At 36.4% G+C, this 22,597-nt stretch overlaps 1 long non-coding RNA gene across 1 annotated transcript in view; it reads right to left on the bottom strand.

Annotated features, from left to right (window-relative positions):
* MCHR2-AS1 (MCHR2 antisense RNA 1) overlaps positions 1-22,597 on the bottom strand; it is an 82,382-nt gene that overhangs the window by 52,479 nt on the left and 7,306 nt on the right. The window lies entirely within an intron of this gene.

Here is a 22,597-nt window from a genome sequence, read left to right as displayed (position 1 = left end):
GTATAGATGCGGTCTGTCCCTGGAAAATGCCAGATGTGTATAATGATATACATTATTCAAGAATAAGCAATCTTTATGTGAACACTGGTTCTAAATGATGCTTAACTACCTGCTGTAGTCAATAAACACAGGATGTGCTGTATATATATCAGAACCGCATCCATAATCAAAATTCTTTAGTTATGTCTACTATAGTATTAAAGATTTTGCCTTTTACTCTAGAGCTCTGAGATTATCAGGGATTCTTCAGGAAAATCTACTTATTTTAACCAACACATGGCATTAATTAGGATTAAACTATTGAAGATGATTGGAAAATAAAACAATACATTTTTCTACTAAAAGGTATACATTATTCTGTTAAATTTCTCCTTTCTATATTGATGGAATCATAAGAAATGAAAAGATATTCAGTTTTGCGATAAACACTGGCCAAGGGGTGACTGGATCTCTTCTTTGGTAACTATTGAAAAAATAAACAGGAAAATCCAAATTGTCCAATTCTTTAAAATGGGGCCTGCTTAATTTCCCTATTTGCTTATACTCTAAACAGAATTTTTTACACGTAATAAAATCTGTATTTTACATTTGCATAGAGTAGGTAACTATCTTGCAAAATAAGAAAACAATTGAGGACGCAAGATAATCATTAATGTATGTTTTGAAATTTCAGTAAATAATGTTTGCTAAATGCTTTAAAATAAGACAGATGGAGAAATGATTATTTTTCTGAAAAAGAAAAAAAATGGTATTGGAATCTATCAATCAGGGCTTTTCATCTGGCAAATTTCTATCAGAGGTTCCTTCCTCCCTGATGGGGTAGACCAGGCCTTCCTGCCACATGATGTGTGTTCTGACCCCCACATCACATTCCCTTCCCTCCCTCTTCACTCAGCCTCCCAGGGAGCTTCCTTGTCTCAAGAAGTCGGAACCAACACAGCCTCCACCCCTCTTCCTGGCTGAATGAGCTAGTATCCCCAGTTTGCTTGCTTCCCATTCTCCCTTTTTCCTCCCTTCAGTGCAGTAGTCAAATGTAGAATTTTCATAATCCTGGCCCACCACCTCGCCCCCTCAACTTCTCCACCAGTACGTCACTGACTACTCGGTCACCCATTGTCCGTTGGCAATTAATGCCTTCAGAAATTTTATCATTGTTCAGTTTCCCAGGGTATATGTAGATTATTCCCTCATAAAAGTCTCATCCAAATTCCACCATTGCAGTTGTAATAAATTCAGAAGTAAACAAGTGAGACCAGAATGCAAGTGTCAGGGATGTCCCAATTTATACAACTCAAAGGTCATCAAACTATAGGCCTCTTGAGGACATAAGTCAGTGCCCAATGACAGCTGTTGAATTATGCAATTAAAGCCAATAATTTAATACTTTAATTTTCATCTGGTTATTGGCATGTAAACACTGAATTAGACTGATGTAATAAAATTTTATAAAATTCTAGTTAAACTCTAACACCTTAAATAGCTTAAGCTAATTAAAACTTGATACATTTCAAAATCTCCAAAGACATTTGTACATCATAAGAAATGACTGGAACAATGCTATGTATGTGTAAGTCTGTAAGTAGGACAAAGATTAATTTGTAGTTATTAAATATAGCATTTTTCCCAAGTAACATAGAGAACATTTTTTTTAGATTAATCTCTCTACCTCAGCTCTTTGGCCTCTCCATTACCTGGCATTTCCAGGCTTTAGTGTCTATATTCAATAAATTATTACACTCTGTAGAGTGTCATCTATTCATTTTGTTTTTCGCAGTAGTATTTTTTGCATCATTAGAATTAGTATTCCGTTTTTTCAATCTAGGTAAGATAATTCCTATTTTAAATTGATCCTATACAGCTTCTATATACTGTATTAGCTGTTAATTTCCTATTAAACTTTTCATATAAGTAGCAATAACCTTCCATGTGTCTTGGTTCTCAAAAGCACCTATGACATAGTACACACCTCACTCCAGCCTTACTTGCATCCCAGCTTATAAATGATTCATAAGCGGTGCTAGGATTGTTGCAGGTCAGTCTGGACTCAGGGTTTCCATGTCAAAGTACTCATCTGTAACCAATACAGTGCCGTGCATTTTCTATACTTTTCAGTCAATGTCTGCTAACTGAATTAAAGGGAAATACAAGAATTTCTCTCATAAAGCAATATGCAGAATTAGGCAATATGCAGAAATTTATCAAAGCCATATGCAAAAATGTGTAGTGTAAAATGTGCTTGTTTCTTAGGGCATTAAAGAATACTGCCTTACTAGTTAATTAAGGAGAGTGGAAAACTTTGAAAATATAATTTTTATTATGTTTAAATTCAAGACACTTTCTGGAAAAATTATGGAAAAGTAAGTCTATCAATGTCGAGCTTTTGACTATGTGCTTTCCTGGAGCTGTGACGTATCTATAAAGCATTGTTCTGTATGCTTTTAGATATTTGAAGAGTTTTCAAATGTACTCAACACTGCTCAAATGGTTTATATGCAATAATCTTTTTATATACATGTTGCTCTGCCTAAATGATTTCTATTATAAATATTCAGATCTCAAAAAAAGTCATTAGTAAAAATAACCTGTTGACATTGTAATTAATATTAATAGTCTCTGCTATAAATAATTATATTACTAAAGTTAAAACCACATATTTTATTATTATGGGTTATTCTAATAAAACTGCCCAAACTACCTAGAGCAGAATAGGTGGCCTGTAACTTCAGCACAGACCCTCCAGACCACAGGCAGGCAGGAGACATGCCTTTAGTCTCCACAGCTGACATTTGATATTTTTTTCACCTCAAGAGTTTCTAATTTATTTATTTTTATTTGTTTTAATTTTTAATTTTTGTGAGTATATTATATATATAATACATATATATAAATATCCTATGTACTCTCTCTATATATTTTTTTGATACAGGCATACAATGTGTAATAATCACATCAGGGTAGGTGGGGTATCCATCACCTCAAGCTTCTTTTCTTAACAAAAATACAAATATACTATTTTAGTTATTTTAAAATGTATAATAAACTGTTGTTGACTGTAGTCATCTTGTTGTGCTATCAAATACTAAGTCTTATTCATTCTATCTAACTATATTTTTCTACCCACTAATGAGCACTATTTCCCCACCATCCACTACCCTTCCCACCCACCGAATTTCTCTGATGATCAATGATGTTGATCATCATTTTACTCTCTTGTCTCCATGAGGTCTGTGTTTTTAATTTTTAGTTTCCACAAATAAGTAAGAACATGTGAAGTTGGTTTGCCTTTCTGTGCCTGGCTTATTTCACTTAACATAATATGTCCCAGTTCCATCTATATTGCTGCAAATGACACTATCTTATTGTTTTTTATGGCAGAATAGTACTCCATTGTGTTTACGTAACACATCTCCTTTATTCATTTATCTATTGATGGACATTTAGATTGTTTCCGAATATTGGCTGTTGTCAATAGTGCTGCAATAAACATGTAAGTGTAGACATATCTTCTACATTCTCATTTCCTTTCTTTTGGGATATACCTAGCAGGGGATTGCTGGATCATAATGGTAGTTTTTTGAGGAACCTCCAAACTGTTCTCCACAGTGGCTTTACTAATTTACATTCCTACCTCCAATTCTCTTTTCTCCACATCCTAACCAGCATTCATTATTCTATCTTTTGAATAAAAGCCATTTTAACTGGGGTGAGATGATATCTCATTGCAGTTTTGATTTGCATTTCTCTGATGATCAATGATATTGAGCACCTTTTCATATACCTGTTTGCCATTTCTATGTCTTCTTTTGAGAAATGTCTATTCAGATCTTTTGCCCATTTTAAAATCAGATTATTAGATTTTTTTTCCTGTAGAGTTTTTTGAGCTCCTTATATATTCTAGTTATTGTTCCTTTGTCAGATGGGTAGTCTGCAAATATTTTCTCCCATTATGTAGGTTGTCTCTTCACTTTGTTGACTGTTTCTTTTGCCACACAGAAGATTTTTAACATGATGTGATCCCATTTGTCCATTTTTGCTTTGGTTGCCTGTGCTTGTAGGATAATTACTCAAGAATTCTTTGCCTAGACCAATGTCCTGGAGAGTTTCCCCAAAGTTTCTTGTAGTAGTTTCATAGTTTGAGGTCTTAGATTTAAGTATTTAATCCATTTTGATTTTTTTTTGATATGGTGAGAGATAGGGGTCTAGCTCCATTCTTCTGCACATGGATACCCAGTTTTTCCAGAACCACTTATTGAAGGGATTGTCTTTTCCCCAGTGTATGTTCTTGGCACCTTTGTCGAGAATGAGTTCCCTGTAGACGTATGAATTTATATCTGGGTTCTCTATCCTGTTCCATTGGTCTATGTGTCTGTGTTTATGCCAGTCCCATGCTGTTTTGGTTACTATAGCTCTGTAGTATAATTTGAAGTCAGGTAATGTGATTCCTCCAGTTTTGTTCCTTTTGCTTAGGCTATCTTTAACTATTCTGAGTCTTTTGTGATTCCATATAAATTTTAGTATTATTTTTTCTATTTCTGCGAAGAATGTCATTGATGTATCTTTGTATGGTTTTGGTATCAGAGTAAAATTGGCCTTGTAAAATGAGTTTGGAAGTACACCCTCCTCCACTATTTTTCAGAATAGTTTGAGTAGGATTGATATTAGTTCTTCTTTAAATGTTGGGTAGAATTCAGTAGGCCCCGGGCTTTTCTTCTCTGGGAGACTTTTTATTATGGCTTCTATCTCATTACATGTTCTTTGTTCAGGTTTTGGATTTCTTCAGGGTTCAATTTTGGTAATTTTATGTGTCTAAGAATTTATCTATTTCTTCTAGATTTTCCGATTTCTTGGCATATAGTTGCTCATATCAGCCTCTAATGATCCTTTAAACTTTTGTGGTATCAACAGTAATCTGTACTTTTTCATCTCTGGTTTTATTTGTTTGGGCCTTCTCTCTTTTTTTCTTAGTCTAGCTAAAGTTTTGTCAATTGTGTTTATCTTTTCAAAAAAACAACTTTTCATTTTATCAATTTTTTTATTGTTTTCTTTGTTTGAATATCATTTATTTATGCTCTGATCTTTATTATTTCTTTTCTTCTACTAATTTTAGGTTTGGTTTGCTCTTGCTTTTTCAGTTCTTTAGACACATTATCAGGTTGTTTATTTGAAGTTCTTCTACTTTTTTAATGTAGATGCTTATTGCTATAAACTTTCCTTAGTATTGCATTTGCTGTATACAATAGGTTTTGGTGCATTGTTTTTCCATTATCATTTTTTTTTCAAGAAATTTTTAAGTTTCTTTCCTAATTTCTTCATTGACCCACTGGTCATTCCGGAGCATATTGTTTAATTTCCATGTGTTTGCATAGATTCCAAGCTGTTTCTCCTTCATGATTGAAGGATATTTTTTCCAGATATATTATACTTGTGTAAAAAATTTTTCCTTCAGCACTTCAAATACGTCATGCCACTCTCTCCTGGCCTGTAAAGTTTCCACTGAAAAGCCTGCTGCCAGACATATTGGAGCTCCATTATATGTTATTTGTTTCTTTTCTTTTGCTGCTTTTAGGATCTTTCTTTAGACATTTAGGACATTTAGGAATTTGATTATTAAATGCCTTGAGGTAGTCTTATTTGGGTTAAATCTGCTTGGTGTCCTATAACATTCTTCAACTTGAATATCATATCTTTCTCTAGCTTTGGGAAGTTATTCATTATTATCCCTTTGAATAAACTTCCTACCTCTCTCTCTTTCTCTACCTCCTTTTTAAGGCCAACAACTCAGATTTGCCCTTTTGAGGCTATTTTCTAGTTCTTGTAGGCATACTTCATAGTTTTTAGTCTTTTTTCTTTTGTCTCCTCCAAATGTGTGTTTTGAAATAGCCTGTCTTCAAGTTCACTAATTCTTTCTTCTGCTTGATCAATTCTGCTGTTAAGATACTCTGATGCATTCTTCAGTATGTCTAGTGTAATTTTCAGTTCCAGAATTTCTGCTTGATTCTTTTTAATGATTTCAATCTCTTTGTTAAATTTAACTGATAGGATTCTGAATTCCTTCTCTATGTTATCTTGAATTTCATTGAGCATCCTCAAACAGCTATTTTGAGTCGTCTGTCTGAAAGGTCACATATCTGTCTCTCCAGGATCGGTCACTGGTGCTTTATTGAGTTCACATGGTGAGGTCATGTTTTCCTGGATGGTCTCCATGCTTGTGAATGTTTGTCAGTGTCTGAGCATTGAAGTGTTATTGAAAAGTTATATTATTAAAGGACTTCAGGGAAAAGAAGTTTTTGTTTAGTAATTCCATGGGAGAAAATTGGATTGGAAGAAGCTAGAAAAATGTAGGATCCAGTTCAGTCTATAGGTAGATAATAAAACTTGAAAACATGTTTCAGACAGTAAGCCAATAACAAGTATATTGTATTCATCTCAATTTTTGCCAAATATAATCAGATTAAGACTAATTTGCTCTAAATAAATCTAATTTTATCAGATTTGGTCTTATTATTTACATAAATATAATAATAATAGTGATTAGATTTCATATTGGACTTAGAAAAATTTTCAAGGCTAGGAAAACAAGTCAAGGTGGGCTTTAGGTTTTACCTGTAGTACCTATAAACTGGTTTTTGTTTTCTAAAAATCTTTTTTGTGATTATAATTTATATCCCATAAAATTAACTGGTTTAAAATATACAATTCCATAGCATAGTATCTACAAACAACTTTAAATATGACAACCTAGTTAAATCTTGCTACTATTCTAAATTATATCTTGTTATAAAGAAAATATTTGTATTGAACTTATGTAAATAAATATGTGGTCATAAAATAAATATAGCCACAAATAGTTTTTGAATTTTGAAGGGACCAGATAGAGAGAAAAGGCAAATATTTTAATTCTGTTCACAGTATATTTTACCAAATTGTTGTACACTGGAGGGACCTTAGGAGTTTCCTCAAATCTGAAAAATAAAGAACCACAATTCATTAAAGAACCATAAATATTTTAAATAAATATTATAAAAATCATATTCCTTTATCAGTTTAGTCCATATAATTAATTCTTGCTTTGTCTGATCTTGGTTAGCAGTTTCATGAACTCCTCAATTATTTTTTATAAGCATTTTGGACATTTTTACTTCATGCATTGATTTTAAAGTTATCAGAAACTGTATTCAAAAGTACTTGTTAGAGTATTTTCTATGAATCTGATTGAAGATGCCTTTAGAGAAAAATCAAAATCGTAAATGACAAAAACTTAAAATAGCCATGGTTAAAAATCTGATGAGAATTTTTTGTTACTAACACAAGGAAATTTAGTCACTTCTACCATATTTTAAGATGACCAGAATTACGACTGACAGTGTCACAAAAGGACTATCAGACCTTTATAAATTTTACATAATTTTTAAAACATCAACACATCTACATAAATAAATTTTAAGAAAGATTTAGCATCACTAATTAGAGATGATTCAGCTTTTCTAAGTAATCAAAAACCTAATAAGGACAGCAGAAAGCACAAGAAACTATATGAATAAAACAAAAAAAAATCCTGTTTCTTAGGCTTATTACTTAAAACGTTAAAAAACAACCACATGCGCACATACACACACACACCTCCTGCAGTATTAGTGCTTCTCTTTATTGGAAGCCCATTTAGATAACCTTGAAGTAGAAACCTGTTGAAAAGGTATTTCAATTAAATTGGACACTGAAAGAGTGTATGTCCATGATTATGAGTGTACACCCTATTATAAAATAACAACGTAAACAAGAGAACCATTACCTTGAGCAGGGGAATCTATAGCTTTGAGAAAAAGTAAAAGTGTGTGAAATTATCTGTTTACATGGAACAATTTAGAGGCATCAGGAAAAGCCAAGAGTGTAGAATCAAGTTATAATGGAAGAGATATTGTTTTATTAGTCCTTTAAGACAAACTTTCTTAGTGTTAGACCACAATAGCAGAGTCAAACCTGGAAAAAGGCTACAGAAATGGATGAAAAGGTTAAGGAATAAAGTAACCACTCTAGTTAAGCAAAATATGTATCCTATTTTCAAGGAGCTAAGGAAGAAAAGCAGAAAGCAATGATGCATGACCTGCAAATCACACGTAGTGAGATGCAGTAAAAAGCCAAACCCTAGGCATATGAATCTGAAAGGCTTTAAGAGGAAAAGTCTACTCAAAAAATGTAATTATCATTTTAAGTGAAAACAGCACTTCTAACTTGAAATTAGGTAGAAGCTGTAAAACATGGAAAAGCTGTAGGTCACAAGATGGTTGAAAATTTAAAGAAATGGATTTGAGAATTAAAATCCAAACCTCTTGCAATTTTTTTTTTACTAAGAGTTGATCAACATTCTAGGAAAACCTTGTTGCTTCAAACACAGAGAATCAGATTCTGGTCCTGTATCAGCACACTCCTGACATTAATGCCCAGTTCTTAGAAAAACTTACAAGCAATTCCCTTCTAATCCCAGCCAACCCAATTACACACAAAATTCTCTTTACAAGATTTATAAACCCCCCATGACTTGTTTATACTTTTCATTATTATCTTAAACCCCACTCTTTGTCCTATACTGTGACAGTTCATAAATTAGAACTGTATAGGTCTAGAAGATTTCTTAGTAAAAAGAAACTATTTTCTCTTATCTATCAGAATGGCCAAACCACAAACTCGTGAGAGAAATTCAATCAGTAGTATTCTAAGGACTAACCTGATTCTAGAACTCTGGTTGTGACTTACTGGGTACTCCCATAAAGACAGAGTTTCAGATGAGATGTCTATTTGCATTTGGACTTTTTGGTAGGGTGTAAGCAGTGTGAAAGGAAAAAAACTTGGGACCCCAATTCACTATGCCAAAAGGAAAGAATTAAGCCAAAAGCTGTCATGCAAAAAAACTGCCTTTCCTATTGTTCCTAAGCAGTTAGCTACAGATAAAAGGTTAAATATCTGCACAGGTAGCTATTCTATGTTCACCTTATCTTATGTAAAGTGCCGATTTACTGAGCATGAGACTATTACATAATTCACGATTCCCCTGTCTGCTTCTTTTCTCTAACAACATGTGGATTACTGTACCCCTCCTCTTTCTCTCCAGCCTGCTTTTCCCCTTTAATTACTGAAGCCCTCAGAATCATCTTTGGAGAAAGGCACAAATCACAGACTGTTTCTGCGATGTTATGTTCTTTTCTTCCAGGCATGTCCTTAACCTTGGCAAAATAAACTTCTAAACTGATTGAGACCTGTCACAGATACTTTTTGGTTTAGAACAGAAAGGCATTTATTAACACTTCCGCCTGGTTTCTGAGTTATTCCCAAACAAAGCCACAAATAGAGTTAGAATCATAGAACAGTTAAAAAGGTTTTTAGTGATTTTTGTTTCACATGTGTATGAAGTGAGGCTCAGAGCCACAAGAATTTTGGTGCCAGGGTCATCCTGGAAGTAATTGGAGCAGGACCCCTCAGCCAAGGCCTCTTACAGGTGGTAATACCCCTTTGAAATCCTGTAAGAGTAATGGGAAGAGCAAGGAGATTTAAGGTGATGGCACTTTTTGCCGACTTGGTCCCCAAACCTTTGATTAATCTAAAACATGGTGGTCACTAAAGTCTTACATCTAAAGGATTTTTCCTTTGTTATTAAAAATCAGAATAAATGATGGAGATATCTAAAAGGAAAGGTGTAGACAAAATAACGTTTATCAGTTCCATTATCAAAAAAAAAACAGATCTGAGTGTTTGAAATTCTAAATTACAAGTCAGCCCACTTTCTTTTGCACAGCATTACTTCTTTTCCTAAATGACAACATTTCATCTGTAAGACACCCTTAGGTCTCTCAATTGCACATTACAATATAAATCCTCTGTGGTGTAAGAGACAGTACATTCTGAACTGAGAGATACTCCACTTTGTCACTTTGCCTGCTCCCAGTAATCTCTGGTCTGCTGCAACTCCACATGTGAATGACAGGAAAGACAAAGGCAAACCAGGGGGTTGAATGGGAAGTACAGCTAAATAGTTGTGTTATTTGTCTTCACTTTATGTCCATAGTTAACAGAAAATATAGCTGTCCTATCTCTTGGATTTAACTCTTTCACAACTGAAGTGTTCCTTCACTCCATAATCCACTTTCCTACACTGACTGGTTATTTATCCTTCTGTCCCCTTTGATGACAATGCAGCTCAGAGGAGAATGGTTAAGAGTGCCCGGAAGGAAAACAGTCAAGAATACCCTGGAGGAAAGTGGCCAAGATCTTTCTAAGGTGAAAGTAGGATCAGCCACAAGTCATGCTGGCTCCTCCACAACTGGCTCAAGGAGAAAAAGAGAAACTACCCAATAAGATTCATAGGTGTACTTTGGGAGGTCGAGGCAGGCAGATCACCAGAGGTCAGAAGTTCAAGACCAGCCTGGCCAACATGATGAAACTCCATCTCTACTAAAAATACAAAAATTAGCTGGGTGTGGTGGCGGGTGCCTGTAATCCCAGCTACACGGGAGGCTGAGGCAAGAGAATCGCCTGAACCTAGGAGGCAGAGGTTGCAGTGAGCCGAGATCGCACCATTGCACTCCAGCCTGGGTGACAGAGTGAGACTCCATCTCAAAAAAATAAAATTAAATTGAAAAGATTCATGGGTGGAAGATGGCAGGGGAGTGGAGGAAGCTCCTGTGTGTATTGCCTGTGATGGGCTGAATAGGTGACACATTCTAACTTTCTGTAGGTAGGCAACACAGTCTAAGAGATGCCCATCTACTGAGTTAGACAAAGCAGCAGGTTCCTCTAGCCCTTAGCTGTATGAAAAACAAGCAACTCATGATTCATGGTGGTCCAGTGATTTGGTAGTTTGGACCCACATTCAGGCCACATAGTGGCTAACATGAAGAAAACATATCCAGCCCAGGGGAGGGAACCAACCAATTAGAAGGCAAGATCAGATCTGAACCTAGGCCCTGAAAAACTCCAGGAGCACTATCCAAATTATACTCTATGCAAATGAGCTCACATCAGCCAAAGGGAGATTGAACCTAATGAAGAAGAGCAGACCAAAGGACTGGAAAGCGTAGGAGAGATGGGTTCCTGGTATTCTCTTATTCAGACATACAGGATACCAGACTTAAAACTATTTTTGGAGACCACCGGGTCCTTTGCTGATCTGGAAAATTGAATTCAACATAAGGACTTATCAAAAGTTAATAAAAAATAAATGGGACATTCATATAATAGAGTATTAAAAATATCTTATATTTAGTGACTTTCATTAATTCATCAAATATTTATTTACTATTTACTATGGTTCCAAGAACTGCCCTAGACAATAAGATACAGGATGAAGAAGAAAGATAAGGTCTTCTCTCACCAGAAGCTTCTATTTTAGTGGGGAGACACTAAAAAAAGGAAATAAGATTATTTTAGATACCAAATGCTGCTATGAACAAAACTAAACAGGTTAGTAGTATACAGGGTGGCATTGATCAGAAGAAAAATGAAATTGAGTAGCTAGGGAAAAGTTCTGTGAGGAAGCAATATTTGAGTTGAGACCTGAATGAGAAGAGGATATCAGCAATTTAAGATCTGAAGGAAGAGCATTCTAGGCAGAGGAAACAGCAAGTGTAAATCTGAGATTAGAATAAACCTGATGAATTTGAGGCATAGAAAGAATTCACGGGTATCTGCAGTGTAGTGAGAGAAAGGGTAGGTGGCAGCCACAGAGGTCAGAGAAGTTAACATCTCATTATATAGTGTCATGTCCAATTTAATTAAGAAGTTATACTGTATCTTAAATTCTTAGCAGAGAATTTTAAGCAAGGGTGTAACATAGTCTGATTTATGTTTTGAAAAGATCACTTTGTCTATAGTGTAGAGAATAAAGCCATTAGGAACCATTATAAGAATGCAAAAATGACTTAGAAGGGATTTATTGGCCCATGTTACTGAAAGTTCAAAGGAAGAAAGGGATTTAGGCGTGGTTTAGTTGGGGATTTTACTCCACTTCTCTGAGACTCCAGTGGCTTTGCCTCCTACTTGGTGGCTTCTTTCTCAGGCTGCCTGGGCAAAATGGCTACCAGTCTGTACACCACATCATGCTTTCTCCTTCACATCCAGGAGGAGAGAACAGGATGGCTCCCTCTATCCATTTGACAAATGCCCTAAGATTTGCACAATTGAACTACCTTGAACCAATCCTTTGGCCAGATAAATATCAGGAGCTGCTTGGGTTAGTCCTGGGTTGTCTGAAACAAGTGCTGCAACAACAGCACATGGATTTTCCTGATAGGCTTTACGCCATCAGGGTTTTCCCTAGAGATGGTGGTGGGGTCAATCCCACACAAACCACACAGCTGCCACAATACAGAGAGTTGACTGGAGGCTGTCAACACAATCACCATGTCTACTACAGGGAGGAATGGCAAAAAAAAAAAAAAATAAATAAATAAAAAGCAGAATCAGATAGAATACTTTTGACACAGTTGTCAGAGTGGGCCAGGCACGTTGGCCCACACCTATATTCCCAGCACTTTGGGAGGCTGAGGCAGGTGGATCATCTGAGGTCAGGAGTTCAAGAGCAGCCTGGCCAACATGGCAAAAACCCGTCTCTACTAAAAATACAAAAAATTAGCCAGGCATGGTGGCAGGCACCTGTAATCCCAGCTACTTGGGAAGCTGAGGCAGGAGAATTGCTTGAACCTGGGAGCTAGAGGTTGCAGTGAGCAGAGATCACGCCATTGCACTCTAGCCTGGGCGGAAGACCAAGACTCTGTATCAAAAAAATAATAATAATAATTTAAAAAATAATAATGACTTGACCTGGGCTGGTGGCAGTGGAGGTGGAAAGAAGTGAATAGACAATATATTTTGAAGGCAGGGACAAGAAGACTTACTGCCAGATTGGGACTTGAGCATTTATGCTAAATTTTTAAGTATGAAAAAACAGGTTAGAAAACACTGTATCTCTCCCACATCTACTCTAGTTCCTCTTTCAGGCCAAATAAAGATCAGGAGAGCAATGAATGGCAAGCCTATGTTCCAGCCTACTGACACCAGAGAAAAAGCTTCTGCACTTGCTAGTCCAAGTCCCTTCTAGGCAGCAGTGTCAACAGACAAGTCAGGCATGAAAAACTTAACGATTGGCACTTGCTGTATCTTTAAAACAAAGAAAAATAGAATGTGGGTTTTACTAAGAAATTCTTGGTCAAGCAGACTCAATTCAGCCCTATTACACACAGCACAGGTTATTTTCCTCATGACCTAGGTCTCTGTCTGAGCCACAGACTCCTTTGATTTTCCTCCTCCAGCCCCATCTCACTATGTTACCATTACAAGGCTGAAGCCTGAATGAATTAATTACATCCCACATGCCAAGCTCCTTGCTGGAGTTTGCATACATTGTCTCATTAATTTGAATACTAAAATGAGGAAATTCAAGGTGTGTGGGCTGCCGATTTTGAGCAAAGTAAACTATTTTCTAAAAGCCCCCTATGTATTGCTTCACACATTCTATGTTACACAACTGACTAACAATACTAAGATTGTTACACAAATAGGAAAAATAAGACTTGGAAAGATTCAGTAGTGTGTACCAGGTCACACACCAAATTAAATATTGATATGATTTTGCTCTGTGTCCTCACCCAAATCTCATACTGAATTGTAATCTCCAATGTTAGCGGAGGGACCAGGTGGGAGGTGACTGGATCACAAGGGTAGATTTCCTCATTGCTGTTCTCATGATAGCCAGTGAGTTCTCAAGAGATCTGGTTGTTTGAAAGTGTGTAGCACCTCCCCCTTCACTCTCTTTCTCCTGCTCAAGCCATGTAGAACGTGCCTCCTTCCTCTTCGCCTTCTGCCATGATTGTAAGTTTCCTGGGGCCTCCCCAGCCATGCCTCCTACACAGCCGGTGAAACTGTGAGCCAATTAAACCTCTTTTCTTTATAAATTACCAGTCTCAGGTATGTCTTTATAGCAGCATGAGAACGAACTAACACAAAGGTGGAATCGAAATTCCATCCCTGCTGTTTTATTTGTTTTTGGAGTCTTTCCACCACCTCATAATGTTTTCTGGGTGGGGATGCACAGCACCACTAAGTTGGACAGGAAAATACTGAACTGGGTTTTGGTGGATATAGAGAGAGTGAGAAAACTTTAAGAAGCCGATAGAGCCACCCTCTTTCCTGACTTCAAAGCGTCCCAGGCCATTCTTGGGAGATGTTCTGACCCTAGTGAATAAACTTTCATCCTTTCTCCATCCATGGATGTGAGTCATATACAAACATATGAGCTGAAGAGACAGGTAATAGTAGTAATAACACATTTTTTTTTTACTTTCATACACATTCATTTTCTCATTTGATTTTTCAGCAACTCTGAGGGATAAACATAGTGAATATTTTTACTCATTCTCTACTTATGAGGAAACTAAATCTCAGAGAGGTGAAGGGACTGATTCAACACTGTTTGGAGCCAGAAGGGATACATTTTATCTAAATGTATGCAAATATATGCTACACGGTAAGACTTCCATGTAAACAAAGAAATGGAGTAATTTTAATTTTTTTCCTCCTCTAACAACAGCATAATAGGTTAGGTAGTTACTTCATGAGCAGTGTTTTAGAGAAGGATGCGCATGTAAGTGGCATTATAATTGTCATAAAAACCATCTAAAAATCCCCAGATTTCCCATCTGCAGATGACATTGGAGGAGGCAGCGATTTGGTGTGGATGGCTCTGAATGCTAATGTAGTTATTGTTTTCTACTCCTGTGCACATCCTGGGACCCACCACCCCAGCACGGATGTGCTGGGGGTGCTGTGTGAGCCACACAATCCCGCTGTCTTTCAAGGGCAGCCTTAAGGTCACAGTATTCTCCATCAGGCTGGCACAGCTTTTCTTCTCACCCTGCAGGGCCTCACACTGTCATCTGTCAAGCGCTTCCTCCACATTTCAATGCAGATGAAATTCACTCAGACCATGTGTGACATCAATTTGAAAATAGCAATATGCATGGAACAAATTCGAGTTCATTTGTGCGAAAAGCATTTATTGAGTGCCTACCATTTTCTGTACAAATTCTGAAAGAAGACTTAAGGCCATGGATAATGAAGCATTTATAATAGTATCCTATATATATCTATATAGCATATATATGCTATATAGATATATATGCTATATAGATATATAGGATATATATAGATATATAGATACATATATAGATATATGTATGCTATATAGATATATAGGATATATATATATATATGTACACTATATATACCTATCAAATATAAAATATTTGGTATATACCAAAAAGTGGAAAGTAAAAGAACATGTATCAGCATGTTTCTCTTATTTATACTATATATATTTGCTATCTTTTATCTCTTCTCAGCACCTAGTAACTGCTATTCATTGATTCAATGCAACAAATCAGTCTGTTTTAATGAAAGGAGAATCGATTTGGATTGGTGCCTAAGCCTGCTTTATTCCCTGCCCCCCCCAAAAAATGCACAGTTAATTTCCTAGCAAGAGTGTATAGAAAAATGGAATACAATTTAAAATACCTCTTTATCACCCTATTTTGTTGTTTATTAGCACAAATAATAATTAACATGTGGTAGCAGGTCATTTAACTTTAAATGTACTCACATATAATGTATGTGGAAAAACCTAAATTAAAATAATGCCTTAAATATGTAAAATATTTCTTTTCAAATGTAGTTATTGTGCTTCAGAAATTGCTCGATGAAAATTTTACCTAATATTTTTGAGGAGTAATTATCAATGAATTCTAAATGATTACTTCTTCAGTGAAATAGCTGGATTTTTTTCCTTGACTATATGGAAAGGAGCCCCTAAGTCTTGTATGTTAAATGAAATCTCTCCTCATTCTCTGACTGGCATTTTTGCCTAAAAGCCCATCTCTCTAAATCATCCTTGTCTAGTAAAAGGGAACTTGACCACATGTTCTTAATTCACTTTATAACATTTTAAAAACTAAAGAGTAGACAAAAGGCCAGTCCGCAAGACTTGTTGAAAAAGCCAGGGATGTGAAAAATGAACAAAAGAAGGCAGGGACTGTTCTAGATTAAAAGAGATAAAAGAGACACAGACAAATGCAATGCCTGAAACTTCATTGGATACAGGTTTAAAGCAGCTAAAAATAATATCTGGGGGACAATTAGGAAAATTTAAGTGCATGTTTGACAGTATAAAATTATTAATTTTCTGAAGTGAAAGAAACATGGGTGTTACCTATATTCTTCTTTCAATTTTTTGGTAGATTTTAAAAGCTTCAAAAGAAAAAAAGTTGAGGCTATAGGAACCCCAAAAGGAGGGAGCAGCTGTGAGAGACGAATGAGGCACTCCGCTCTGCACCTGGGTTTCCACCATGCACCACCTGTTTAGGGTTCACCCAGGTGTTAAAGGTCCACATGCTGCTAAAAGGAAAAGCATTCATGTCAAGCTTTGCTACTGCTTACCTTTCATTAGTAGCAGCACCATCGAACACTCTGCAGGGCAAAACGTACATTGATTTATTCATCCCTTCAATAAACATGTATTAAATATCCCCATGCTAGATGCTGAAGGTACAACAATGAATAAGAAACTGTTGCCTGTCTGCAGGCTGCTCAAGGATATCTTTATGTTAAGTGAATTTATCCACGTGAAAGTGTGTTTGAGAGTGAAAGAGAATATGCTAACACAATCATGAAAATTACATAATTAAAATATTTATCGAGCAACAAATTGTGTTTTTACTATATTGGTCCTATTGTATTACATTGGCAGTTCTATTAAAAACTTTTAAAAAATAAAATTACTTCTAAAAATTGAAAATAACATACATTCATGCACCTTAAACAATTTTTAAAATTATTTTGTTATATTGACTACCTGAATGCTTTAAAAATGAAATAAACAAAACAATGACTGTGATGCATATTCAGTTGCTTAGCTGCATCTGTCTCTAATATGTTACTAGTATTTTCTTGAAGAGTGCAGTTTTTTCAATAAGCATCTTATTATTTTTAATTTGTTCATCAAATTGTAGTCTGCAAAGTGTTATTTTGGTGGTTAATACATTTGAAATTGTTAACATCCGAAATTGATACTTCTCTATTTTTTTATTTGATAGTATGTTCTCTCCATAGGCACTGAGGTTCCTGGCAAACTCGGAGCCAGTTATGAAGAATAGTCTCAAATCTAATTTCTTCTAATTGAAATGTATAAATATTTTACCCCAATATTGTCACAAGCACTGCTTTTTGCTTTCCTTCAGAGTACAACTTCTTTGACAAATTATTTTGTAGGAAAAAAAGAACTTCTAAAAAAACATAGCCTGAATTTATATACTTTTGAATTTTTTGCCAAATATAAATCCTGCAAAATCTAAGAGTTCTCAATATCTTTCAATTCCAGACGTCAATATAAATTATCAAATTAAAAATTGGAGCTCCATCAAAATATTCTTTCTACAAGTCAAGATACTCAAAATTTATTCCTGTACACACTGTTTGAGTTCCCCATAATTTCTTCAGTTTCTCCTTGGTTTTGTAGAAATAAGGTTTTTTGGTTTTTGTTTTTGAGACAGGGTCTCGCTCTGTCACCCAGCCTGGAATGCAGTGATGTGATCTCGGCTTGCTGCAGCCTTGACCTCCCAGGCTCAAGTGATCCTCCCACCTCAGCTGCCTGAATAGCTGGGACCACAGGTGTGCACCACCACGCCTGGGTAATTTTTAAAATTTTTTTGTAGAGATGGCATCTCCCTATGTTGCTCAGGCTGGTCTCCAACTCCTGGGCTCAAGTGATCCTTCCACCTTGGCCTCCCAAAATTCTGGATTAATGCATTTAACATTTTCAATATTATAGGCTTTCTTTTTTAAATCAACTTTTTCTTTTAGAATAATTTTAGAGTTACATAAAAACTGTAAAAGTAGTACAAAGAATTCCTGTATATCCTTCACCCTGTTTCTCCTTTTGTTAACATCATGCTTTAACCATGGTACACTTGTCATAACTAAGAAATCGACACTGGTACATTGCTATTAACTAAATTCCACCCTTTATTCTGATTTCATTAGTTTTTCCCTAACGTCCTTTTTCTGTTCCAGGATCTCATCCAGGATACCTCATTACATTTAGTCATCATATCTCCTTAGTCTCATCTTAGTCTGTCTTTATTTTTGATGACCTTGATAGTTTTGAAGAGTACTGGTCAGATATGTTATAAAATGTTCTTTGATTTTTGTTTGATGTTTTTCTTATGGTGCACTGGAGTTATGGGATTGGGAGAATACCACAAAGGTGAAATGCCTTCCTCATCACATGGTGTCAACATACCATAGCACTAGTGATGTTAACCATGATCACTTGCTGAAGGTAGTGTTTGCCAGGTTTCTCTACAATAAAGTTATTATTTTTCTTCCTTTTCATGCTCTATTTTTGGAAGAAAATCATGAAGCCCAGCCCATACTCAAGGAGGAGGGAATTATACTTCCATTCCAGGGGAACTGTATATATGTATTCAGTGCAGATTCATGTATAATCATACTATGCTTTCAGTAATAATCCAACATTATTATTATTTTGTTTTTCAAATTATTCCAATGTGGCCACTGGGAGCTCTTTCAGGTTGGCTCTTTAGTCCCTTCGGCATGCCTTTATCCTTTGTTTTAGGGGTTCTTCCTTGCTTCCTGGGGCTACAAATGCTTCAAGCTCATCTTATATTTTCCCTGTTCCAATCCTAGCCGAAACTGAGAGTTGCTGACATCAACCATTTCTCTAAGGACCCCTGGTTGCTTTTATTGGAGAATGATATTTAGAAAGCAACATCTGGGATCTGGGTGCAGGCTTTCTTTTTAATAATTTCAACTCAGTAAATGCTGCCAAAGCTGACTTTTTGGCATTACATTCACAGAATGGTTTAATGATTGATAGATGTACAGTTGACTTTTTAATATACTAAAAGGTTAAAAAGCTCATTTACAAAAAGTTGAACGCTGTTGTAGAACATTAACATTGATTTGCAAAGTAGTTCTTCAAAGGCTAAAACACTTGTAAATTCAATTGATGATGGGAAGAAAAGAGATAAAGTGCAATTTGCCATGTCAAAGCTTGTTTTATTATTCAACATCAACTTCATAGCAAATATTTTATGACATTAACCATGTAAGATATGTTAAACTCTTTAAACTGCAACAACTACAGACTCTATTTTAACAGATATGATATCATAGTTTGTTTGAATACAATTATGGTTTATCCGTACATGACAAACAGCTTCAAATTTATTTCTTCTCCATAGATTTTTATATTAATACAAATGTTATATTTACCACAAAGCCTTGCTCCACCAAAATTTAAATTCATGTCATTACCACAAAACAAATACTTTCTCTGTAATGTTAAACATTTTATCTAAGTTTCCAATAGCTTCAGAAAGTTGTCATTTGTTTCACTTTTTCAGAATGCATTTCCAAAACTTTATGCTTAGGAGTTTATGCTGAACAATATGAAAAACCAAAAATGAATTTAAGCAAATCAGATCTTCCTGTTTGAAATTCCCTCTTGCAGGAGTTTGGAGAATTGGTTTGTTGGGACAAGGAATGAGCAACTTATTCAGTAATTTATGGGGGAAAATGAAGACAGCCTGAGTTAAGACAGTGGCTATGGAGATGGAGAAGTGAACTATCTCAGTAGATGTAAAGGTACTACATTTAACTGAATTTGGTGCCTACATAGATGTGTGAAGTGAGAGAGAGGGAGTAAAGCATGACTTCTAGGTTTCCAATTTGATAACGAGGTGGTTAACAGAACCATTAATGAGATGAAGAATAAAGGATGAGAAGACTTGGTAAATAACTGTAATCTCAGCACTTTGGGAGGCCGAGGTGGGCGGATCAGTTGAGGCCAGGAGTTCGAGACCAGCCTGGCCAACATGACAAAACCCCATCTCTACAAAAAAATACAAAAGTTAGCAGGGTGTGGTGGTGCACTCCTGTAATCCCAGCTACTTGGGAGGCTGAGGCACGAGAATCACTTGAACCCAGGAGGCAAAGGTTGCAGTGAGCTGAGATCATGCCACTGCACTCTAGCCTGGGCAATAGAGCAAGACTTCATCTAAAAAAATAAAATAAAAGACTTGGTAGAAAACATGAAGGAATGGGGAGTTCAGGTTTAGACAAGCTGCCTAGAGATATTGTTTCAGGAGTATATTCTTCAGTATATAATTGATAATTGAAGCCATAAAAGAGGTCACATGGGGTTGTATAGAGAGAAAATAAGTCTAAGGAAGAATTCCAGCAACACTTAAAGGGTTGTCAAAGGAGCCTGGGAAAGAATGAGCCAACACACAGAGAGGAAACATCTCTGAATGAGTAAAACAAAAACAAACAAACAAAAAAATGAAGGTATTTGTGTCCCATGTGAAAGCCTGCCAAAGAGTAACCTCTGCAAAGGAGAATTTTAATAATCAAGTAGATAGAATGACCTGTCCTGTGGATACCAGTCAGTCTCTTTCTTTCCTGCCACTTCTGTCATTGGCCAATGGGCTCATTAACAAAGTAGCCATGATGGCAGAGATGGTGGTTATGCATGAGCTCGGCAACATGGACTTCTACTCACCAAAGTCAACTTGGATATGGCCACAGTTGAGTGCCCAATCTGCCAGCAGCAGAAACCAACACTGAACACCAATATGACACCATTCCCCATGGTTATCATCCAGCTACCTGGAGGCAAGTTGATTTCACTGAACCAGTTCCATCATGGAAGGGGCAGTGTTTTGTCCATACTAAAATAGAAACTTACTTTGGATACAAACTTGCTTTTCTCACCTGCAATGCTTCTCTGCCAAAACTGTCATCTGTGGATTCACAGAATGCCTTATCCACCATCATGGTTTTCCACACAGCATTGTTTCTGATCCAGAAACTCACTTCACAGCAAAAGAGGTGCAGCAGTGAGCCCATGCCCTCACCAATGCAGGTGGACATTATCCCATTCATTGAGGGCTTGCACAGAACAAATAGGTGGACTAATGGTGAATTCACTGTCCCCGTTTGAGCTGGGGCATCTGTCTTCTCCTGCCCCTGGACATTGGAGCTCCTGGTTCTCCGGACTTAAGGAATTAGACCAGGAGTTACACCACCAGTTCTCCTGGTTCCCAGCTTGCAGATGCCAGACCGTGGGGCTTTTCAGTCTCCACAATCATTATATGAGCCAATTTCTATGATAAGTCTTTATCTATCTCTATATCTATCTAGCTCTAATCTAATCTATGTATCTACCATCTACATTCTATTCATTCTGTTTCTCAGGAGAACCCTAACACAGAAGGGTTGCAGGATGGACTATGGAACATGGAAAACAGGAAAAAAGAGAAGGGCTCAAGAGACTGTGATCTCTGAGAAAGCACACCTTTGCTGTAACAGCAAAGAGGGAGAGATAGATGTTTGTGGTCAGAGAACAGAGTTTAAGATTTATGAGGTGGAGAAGTTCAGGGTAATAACCAGTTCTGGGATAGGACCTGGATTATGTTTGACCTATGTATAATGTCAAGATAGAGATTATTAAAAGACACTGAGGAAATTGCCATTATTCACCTTTTCAGGTGTATCCTAACTGGGGGCCTAACATAATGTCATAAATTAGGGTAAGAAATGTATTTTAAAATTGTCATGTAGTCTCTTTGTCAGTAAGCAAAGTTTGCCTTAGCCCATGTGATTGACCAAAAACCACTTGTAGGTCCTAAAATTTGAATGAATAAATAGAAGTTAGGAATCACATGCCTGTGTGCAATCTAATGGCTTGAGCTGGCACTTAGTTGGCACTGCCACCAAGTGGCCAGTCGGGAGAACTGCATTTGGTGTTAGAGCTAGTTCTCAATGAGGTATTTGCCGTTCTGAGATCCGACTCTCAAGCTCTGGAGCTACCAACTCTCCAGGGAAATATTTGTGTGACAGCTTTCCAGTGAAATGTGCAATCTGTCAATCCTTTAGATGAGAAAGTACTTAAAGGATGTAGCTTGATGGATGAACTACTCTAGCATAGTCACAGTTTTTTCTCTGACAATTTGGGAAAAGGTTGTTTTCAGAATAACTGTACACTTATAAAAACAGAGACTCCAAACATTGAAAAACAGAAAAAGTAAGCATATTTGATGATACCCTTTCTATATACAGACCTGAGTCTTCAGATCCTTGCAAATTTCTCAACGGGGAAGGACATTGCAGCATGGCAGACCACATGGATATACACGGGGAAGCATCATGAGCATGGTCTGTCCATTGCCTTTTGCCTGTGTCTTGTGTAATGGAGCCATTTTTACTAAATACACGAGGACACTATGTACCTTTGAAATACATACTTGAAAGACAAAAAGGTGAAATTGGTCAGGATTGAGAAGCAAAGAGTAAACCAGTGGACCTGGTCCAATATCTCCTTGACTCTACTGTGGATCTTCATTAAAATTAGGAAAAAAAATGGTGATTGGGAGATGAATAGCTACCTTCATTTACAAAACAAATTCCACAACTATTAATATTTATTGAGTACTTACCATGGGCCAGGTAAGTACTTCCTATATAAGGTAACATCCAT

This window comes from Homo sapiens, chromosome 6 (assembly GCF_000001405.40).
Source record: "Homo sapiens chromosome 6, GRCh38.p14 Primary Assembly".
Lineage (NCBI taxonomy): Eukaryota > Metazoa > Chordata > Mammalia > Primates > Hominidae > Homo > Homo sapiens.
Note: the sequence above shows the minus strand (reverse complement) of the source record. Positions and strands in the feature narration are given on the sequence as shown.